Below are 8,478 nucleotides of genomic sequence, written 5' to 3' on the forward strand. Positions count from 1 at the left end.
ACGTTGTGGCAAAAAAACTTGTGGGAACAAAGTAGAAAACAGTATTATGAAAAGTTACCAAAAAAGTTATGAAAAAGAAGTTACGGGATTCTTTTTTAAAAAGTCATGGAATAAAAATAAAAATTAAAAGCAGGCCCCTGTCAGCAAAGCCTGGAGAAGTGGGGCCGGAGTCTCCACCGCCACCATGTCCCTACCACCCCTTCCCAGGCACCCCTTTACAATTAGGGTAGCAGGACAAGACCTCTGTCTAATGGGGAAAGACAAACAGACCCTTTGCCACCTTGACCAGGGCTGAGTCCCTAAATTTCTGGATGATGATGATTGTTATTTAAGAGCCAGAGGCTGGTGGAGTTGGTTTGTTTGGAGGAGGCCTGATGTCCCCCTTACTCTCACCATAGCAACTTTTCCCTCAGGGGGGCTCCCTTCTTATTCAGAGAGGTAGGACAGTGGGGCTAACTGTGGACCAGGCGAGGGCACGGGCTGCTGGGGTGGCCCCCGTTCCCCGGTGTACACATTGTGTCTGTGTAAGGTTTTGTATATTCCAGAGGGTAGGGCCACCCCTGTGTCATACCTAGCTGAGGTTGGAGCCGGCACATGGGGAGGAGGTTGTAATAATTATTTGTGGCTGGGAAACTTATTTATTGCTAGCATAGGACAGAGGAAGGAGGCGGGGATGGGGTCGTGGCTCCCTGGTGATGCGACTCCTGTTTATTTTGCTTTTTATTTTGGAATAAATGGATTTAGCCATACTGCTCGGCCTGGTGTGTTCCCGTTTCCCTCACTGGGTCCTGGAGTTTGTGCCACCAAACGAGGAGCCCCAGAGTGTCTTGAGTATGTCCAGCTAGGCTGTTAGGGACCTTCCAGGCGTGTTACCTGTATGCTGCCTAGTGGCGCCTGGGGGATTCCACGGGGACTGCCATGGTGCCTATGGGGCGCAGTCCAGCCCTGACAGCCAACAGGCTCAGAAGCCTGTTGTAGCGGTGGCCAGGAAGACAGGTACCAGCACCTAAGGGCACTGACTTCCACCCACCCCAGGCGTCTTCCCTTCCGTCACCTTGCCTCCCTCCCCTGTCTGCACCTGGTGGCCTGTTCTCTCTGTCCCTCCAGAGTGCCGGCTGCCCGGCAGGCTCCCTTCAGGCTGAGTTCGTGGCCCTGCCCCCTGGTGGCCAGAGCCGGCTTCACAGGACAAGAGCCAGCTAAGTTCCAGGGGCTTTCCAGGAAAAGTGTCCCTTGGAAAGGGTATGGCCTTTTCACCCCTCCAAACAGCACCCTAGAAATGGCTTGGCCTTTCCCCTCCCCTGAGCTCCACAGAGAACACAGCCAGCAGAGGACACACTTCCCCGTCATCCAGAAATGGGTTTGATTCTCAGCCAAGGGACAGCAGGACTGGTAGAGACTGTCAGGCCACACAGCTGCCTGCACAGCACTCCCATGCTTGGTGGGGGGGCGGGAGGGATGGCGGGGGCTGACTCTCCATAGGCCAGGCGTGACAGGGAGACTCACCGGAGGTCTTGCACTTTGGAGGGGCAATGTCGGGACAGCTTTCTCTTGTTGGGCCACAAGACTCCAAGAGGACAGCACGGTGACTGATTCCCAGCACTAGAGGCGAGGCCGTTGGCCACATGTAGGTGTAGGGGTGTGTGTGTGTGTGTGTGTGTGTGTGTGTATGGGTATTTATAGATATTTATAGAACAATGCGAGGGCATACCACAGAGGGGGGCACAAGTTTCACAACAGTCACACCTGGACGTGTCAGCTCACCACTACAACAGACTAAGTCACAGATGAAGGGGGCTGGCTTTGGGGCTGGGGGAGCCACTGCCAAGTCACAGAACAGCCGCCCAGGCAGGCTTGGAAAGGGAGGCCTCCGAGAAGAGAAGGGATCTGTTTAGAGGTCGAAGGGGGGCGTGGGGCTCTCAGGATGGGATGGACTTGCGTGACCTGATCGGCTGGCAGTTGGAGAGAAAGCAGAGAGAAAAGAGGAGAGAGAAAAGGGAGGAGAGAGCTGGTGAGGCCAGTGCAGAGCACAGGTGTGCCACAGCAGCTGTGGGAGGGCCAGGGAGGGGAGGGCGCAGGTGCGGCTGTGGCAAGGTTCCTGGAAAAGAGGGGCTGGAAGGGAAAGGGGAGGAAGATGGAGGGAGGAGCCGGAGCTTCACAGGTAGTGCCTGGGGACTGTGGCGGCCCTCCCCACCCCACACATGCTGGCCTCTTCCATTGCACCCAGGCAGTGTACCCACAGGTCAGACCAACGCTCGGCCCCTTTGGGCTTCCCTCTTCTCTGGTCACCAACCAACTTGTCTTCCAAGTCGTCTTCCAACCTGTCTTCCAACCAACTGGTCTAGGGCCACCTCTCACCTTGGGGAACCCAACATAACAGCCACCAGGCCTGACAGAAGGAAAATTGCTCGAACAAGGATGATGAAGCTAAATGGGATGGATGGTTGGAGTGATCGCCGGAGCCCCCTCTGGGTGGTCAGGAAGCTCAGGACCCTCTGAAGGGACCCTGGGGGAGGCAGGGTGGGCAGGCAGCCAGATGCCACTGGCTATAAACTTATAAGTCTAAGAGGGGAGCCTCAGCTTGTTGGAGATTGCAGGTCCCATAGGTGAGGCTGGGTCCTTCCTCCCAGGGAAAGGAGACGGAGACCATGGCAAGGGAGGTGGGTGGGCTTGCTGGGCAGAGCTCAGCTGGGCCAGCAGGCACTGGGCTCCCCTCGGCTGAATAGGAGGGCCAATCTCTAGGAGCAACAAGCCAAGGTGCGTGAGCCCGCTGGCTGGTGGTAGTGCTTCAGCGGGGCCCAGGGACCCTGCCTTCAGTCACATGCTAGCAGCTGTGATGGTACCTGGGAGGGAGGGAAGGGGGCTGTGTGCCCCTACCTGACCTGTGAGGTGTGTTTTGGGTTGACCATGTGTATGGGACTCTCGAGGTTTTATCCTAGATCACCACTGTTTTGCCAACAGATAGAGGAGGTGGGACCCTATCACCCCTGCTCTGCAGTGGATTTGGCCCTCAGCACTCCAAGGCATCCAGGCTGGGAGCTGGATGCCCCACCCTGGCAGCATGGCTCAGACAGCACAAAAGGCATGGTGTGCCCAGGATGACATTCCTGGGCCTCTGGCCACCTCAGAGTACAGCCCCACACACAACCCCCTCCAAGCTCTCAGCCCTTACACCATAAACCACGAGCTCCCTGATGGCTCCAGAGACCACCCACATCTGCCAGCTTGGGCACGGAGCCTGTTCCAAGAGCCCCCAGGCTCAGCCATGGGGGCTGGGGAGACTTGGGGCCATAGGGGCCAGCCCTGGTACCTGCGTCTGGCAAGGACGCTCTGCACCTGCAGCCAGGAGCTGTCCACGGGCCCCCATGTGCGTGCTGATGGTGGTTGTGTTGATGTCACCGATGATGCTGAGCACCTCCTTCAGCACGTGGTACATGCGCAGCATCTCATCTCGCCACTGTGCCTGCTCTGCCAACTCCTCCATCAGCGTGTTCTGGTTCCCATGCAAGTACAGGTTGGACAGCAACTCTGATAATATGAGCTCCTTGGTCTGAGAGGGGGCAAAGAGGGAAGGAGGTTGGGACCTGATGCATGTGCTGGCCTGATGCCTGTGCTGGGACAGTGTGCTGGACTTGGAGCCCTGAGTATGGCTTTGCACACGCGGCTTCTACACCGCTTAGACTCAAAGATCTGCCACCCCACCGCCCTTTTCTCACTCAGATAGGGACACTGAGGTCCAGAGGAAAAGTCACCTGTCCAAGGTCACACATCTGGGAGGGGACCCAGGACCTATCATGCCACCAGGACACCTGTCTACTCAGTTTCTTAAAAATGTTTTTTGGAGATAGGATCTCGCTCTGTTGCTGGGCTGGAGTACAGTGAGCAAGATCACCACTCACTGTAGCCTGAACCTCTTGGGCTCAAAGTGATCCTCCAATGTCAGCCTGTCGAATAGCTAAGACTATAGGCATGTGCCATCACTAAGCCTAGCTATTTTTAAAATTTTTGTGTAGAGACCAGGTCTCACTATGTTGCCCAAGCTGGTCTCGAACTCCTGGGCTCAAGCTATCCTCCTACCTTGGCCTCCCAAAGTGCTGGGATTACAGGCATGGACCACTGTCCCTAGTCCCACATTATAGTTCTATGAGACAGCTCTGGTCTGGACTGTGCCTCCCTCCCTGAACCTGGTCCCATAGGGCTGGTCGGCATCTCCCCCAGGCCAACATGGCCACCTGCATCCCCAGTGCCACAGGAGCCCCCTGCCCCTATGAGGTGGTGCATGCACGTTGTTGATCATGACGTGCATGACGGTCTTGGGCATGAAACCAACTATGAGGTCCCACACAGTCTTGTTGACAATGGCCTTGTAGGAGTCCACAAGGTTCTGGGTGGTTTCCATTTGCCGCTTCAGCTGTGGGTCCATGGAGTGGACTTAAGATTGAGTCTAGACCTAGACTGCTGCCGGGCTTTGCAAAACCCAACTGGAGTTGGGTCCTGGGCTGCTCTCTGTGGTTCTGAAGCACCATCTCCCACCAGTGTGGCTGGTTCCCCTTAATCTGCATCTCTGGTGTCTCCTATACAGCCTCTGCCAGAAATTCAAAAGCAGAGAGGGCTTTTATTTTCTATCTTCCAAAATAAATTTCAAAGTATTATTGGCAAACTTGAATAGTGACTTCTGTTTCATAATTTTTCATCGCCTTTTGGTTTCATCTTTAGAAAGTTTTTTAAGTTATGAGAATTTTTCTTTCCCTTAGAAGTTGATGCACATAAATCCCCTTGTTTGCCACATTAATGGCAGACCTTACTTTCCCCTCCCCGATTCCTGCAGGGGATCTCCAAAAATCTAAGCGTTAGGAAAGAGCCCAGCCAATCGCATCCCAGTGGTATCCCCACCCTTCTTCACCTCTCCCAGACTGTAGCCTTGCCCCACCCTCTCAGCCACCAGGGACACTCACAGGGAATCTTGTTAATCTCATTGAAGAACTTCTCCTTCAGTTTGGCAAACATGTCCTCCTGGCTCTCCCCAGCACTCCCACTCTCGGTGGAGTTGTCCACGGGTCCAATGGGCATCGTGACGGTGGTGGTGGCAGGAGCCACAATAGGCTCTTGGTTCCTCTTGAAAATGTTCCTCATGGTGGCAGAGGGGACAGATGGGGATGAGAGGGGAAGAGGGCAGGGTGAGCATCCCAGAGGTTGTCTTCCCCTCAGAAAGCCATGCCCAAAGGACCAGGAGAAGCTCTTTATCGATCAAAGATATTTTGCATAATATTAACAACTGTAGTAAACCAATAATAATAGACATCATCCAATTAGTACACAGTCAGCCTGGGTAGCATAGCAAGACCCTATCTTTAGAAATTTTTTTTTTTTTTAATTAGGCATGGTGGAGGCTGAAGTGACAGAGGATCACTTGAGTCCAGGAGTTTGAGGTTACATGAACTATGGGTGACTAAGTAAGGTTCTATCTCTTAAAAAAAATAGTAGTACATATATGTGCCAAGCACTATGCAAAGCACTTTCCATGCATTATTCATCTAATCCAAAAAATAACCTAATGGTTTTTATTGTTTCCATTTAACAGATGGGGAAACAGGTTCAGAGAGGTTAGAAAGTTTTTCCAAGGTCACTTAGCTGTAAGTTCTGAAACTGAGGTTTGAACTGGTCTACCCAACTCCAGAGCTTGTATAGCTAATCACTCTCCTATATCTCATTTAAATCTAACCTCACCACTCTAGGAAGGAGACAAGGTTTTACACTGAGGGCTCCTCTTTCAACCTCTCTCCTTGACTTCCAAGGATTTCTAGATATTACTCTGCCTAGAATCTCTGCCCAGCTCCATGACACTTGAACTCTCCACATCCCTGACTCCAATTCCTCCTCCTGCCCTCCAAGACTCCTCAGCCCTCTGTAGTTTCTTCATGGGCTCCCTCAGTGCCCACTCAGGGTTTGTTTTGACCTCTCCTGTAGGAAGACGGCACCCACATCTCCATCTCTAGCCCTTCCTCCCGGGTCCACTCTGTAGCCCCTACTCCAAGTTCATCTCTAGCCCTGCCCCCACATGCAGCTGCACATTAGCCTTCCTGCATCAAAGATGTGATGTTTATTAATAACATAACCCAGACTTACTGTAGAAAATTTGGGGAGAGAGAGAAATCCCCCCATAATTCTACCCTCCAAAGTCAACTAGCATTTGGGGCATTCTATGCTGGTATTTTTTCTGAGTATGTTTTACATGTTGAGGCCATGCTATGCATAGTTTTTTTGAAGATTTTTTACATAAAATTTCATCATAAGCCTTTTCCTTTATTGTTTTGTATTATTAAATAGCTACAGAATATCGTACTACATGGTAACACCATAATTTGTTTAGCCATTCCACTATTAGACATTTAGGCAGTTTTCAACTTTTTGCTAGTAAAACACTGAGCATATATGTTGGTCTTCATTTAAGGCAATGTTCTTACGAGCTTCCAAACTCTGCCCCCCCATAATTCTGTCCTCTCCACCGAGCTCTTTTTGCTCCTCGGGGCTATGCACTCATTTCTCAACTGAAAGTCCTATGAGGGAAGATCCTGTGTTGGCAACAGCACCCCTCCTGCCAAGCACACAGTGGGCACTCAGGGTATTTGTTGATTGAGGTCCTCTGAGGCAACATAGCAGCATACACCCACAGGTATTCCAGGATGCAGGAATAAACAGCACAACTCCCTGAAGCATCCGTTTTACTGAATGGCAATTTACAGTATTTTTAAATTAAAACAAGCTGGAAATATAGAGTAGGATGCATACAGCACAAGAATTTAAAGAAAAAATGTGAGACTTTTCTTACTGCATGTTAGGGATGTGTTAACTCTCCTCTGGACTCAGGGTTCTTCTGAAGGAACATTTTAGAAGCTCTTAGGTTCTGTCCCTTCCTTTCAAAACCTGCTGAGATCCCCTCCCCAGCCCTGGAGACTGCTCCAGCCTTAAGTACTTTTGGTGACCTGCACATTGATGCAATGTAGGTTCATTCACCAAGCATTTATTAAACTCTTACTACCTGCCATGTTGAAATAGCCTTGACCCCAAAACTGGTCTTGAAGTGAAAAACCAAGGTCCACTGGACTTCACCTCTGGGGACAAAGAGATGGGTGCAGTTTGGCGGGAACTGCAAGTAGCCACACAAGGGGATAAATATGTGTCCAGGGCCTTCCGCCATGTCCATCTCCCCTCACTTCTACAAAACTGTTAAGGGCTCTGTGACCTTTTTTTCAAAAAACAGCTTTATTGAGATGTAATTCATATATAAGTCACCCATTAAAGTATACAGTTCAGTGCATTTTATTGTATTCACAGAATTGTGGAACAATTTGCATAACCTAAGTAGAACATTTTTGCGACCTCAAAAAGAAACCCAGTCCCATTAGCAGTCACTTTTCGTTCCCATCCTCTTCCCAGCTCCAGCAACCACTAATCTACTTTCTGACTCTATAGATTTGTCTATCCTAAACATTTCCTATCAATGGAATTATAAAATATGTGGTCTTTGTGACTGGCTTCTTTCATTTAGTATGATGTTTTCAAGGTTCATCCATGTTGTAGCATGTATCAGTATCTCATTCCCTTTTTATTGCCACATAATATTCCATGGTGTAGGTAGAACACTTTTTTTTTTTTTTGAGACAGGGTCTCACTCTGTCGCACAGCTGGAGTGCAGTGGTGCAACCATGGCTTACTACAGCCTCCACCTCCAGGGCTCAAGTGATCATCCCACCGCAGCTTCCTGAGTAGCTGGGACTACAGGTGCATGCCATCACACCAGGCTAATTTTTTAATTTTTTGTAGATATGGGGTCTCCCTATATTGCCCAGGCTGGTCTCAAGCTCCTGGCCTCAAGCAATCCTCCCACTTCAGCCTCCGAAATTTTGGCATTACAGGCATGAGCCACCGCACCTTGCCTAGAACACATTTTATATTTATCCGTTCATCAATTTATAAACATTTGGGTTATTTCCACTTTGGGCTATTTTATAACTAAATATGGCTAATAATATCCCACTTGTGGGGTATTATGAATAATGCTGCTGTGAACATCCATGTATGTTTTTGCATGGACATACGTTTTCATTTCTCTTGGGTATATACGTAGGTATGGAATTGCTGGGTCATAACTATGTTTGACATTTTAAGGTGCCAGCACCAATTTATGTTCCCACCAGCCATGTATGAGGGTTCCAAGTTTTCCACATCCCAGACAACACTTCTTTTTTTTTTTAATTATACTTTAAGTTTTAGGGTACATGTGCACAACGTGCAGGTTAGTTACATATGTATACATGTGCCATGTTGGTGTGCTGCACCCATTAACTCATCATTTAACAGTAAGTATATCTCCTAATGCTATCCTTCCCCCCTCCCCCCACCCCACAACAGGCCCCAGTGTGTGATGTTCCCCTTCCTGTGTCCATGTGTTCTCATTGTTCAATTCCCACCTATGAGTGA

At 50.0% G+C, this 8,478-nt stretch overlaps 1 pseudogene; it reads right to left on the bottom strand.

Moving 5' to 3' along the window:
• Positions 1–1,716: 1,716 nt before the first annotated feature.
• On the bottom strand, positions 1,717–4,428 carry DNM1P30 (dynamin 1 pseudogene 30; annotated as a pseudogene).

The sequence above is a fragment of the Homo sapiens genome, chromosome 15 (genome assembly GCF_000001405.40).
Source record: "Homo sapiens chromosome 15, GRCh38.p14 Primary Assembly".
Lineage (NCBI taxonomy): Eukaryota > Metazoa > Chordata > Mammalia > Primates > Hominidae > Homo > Homo sapiens.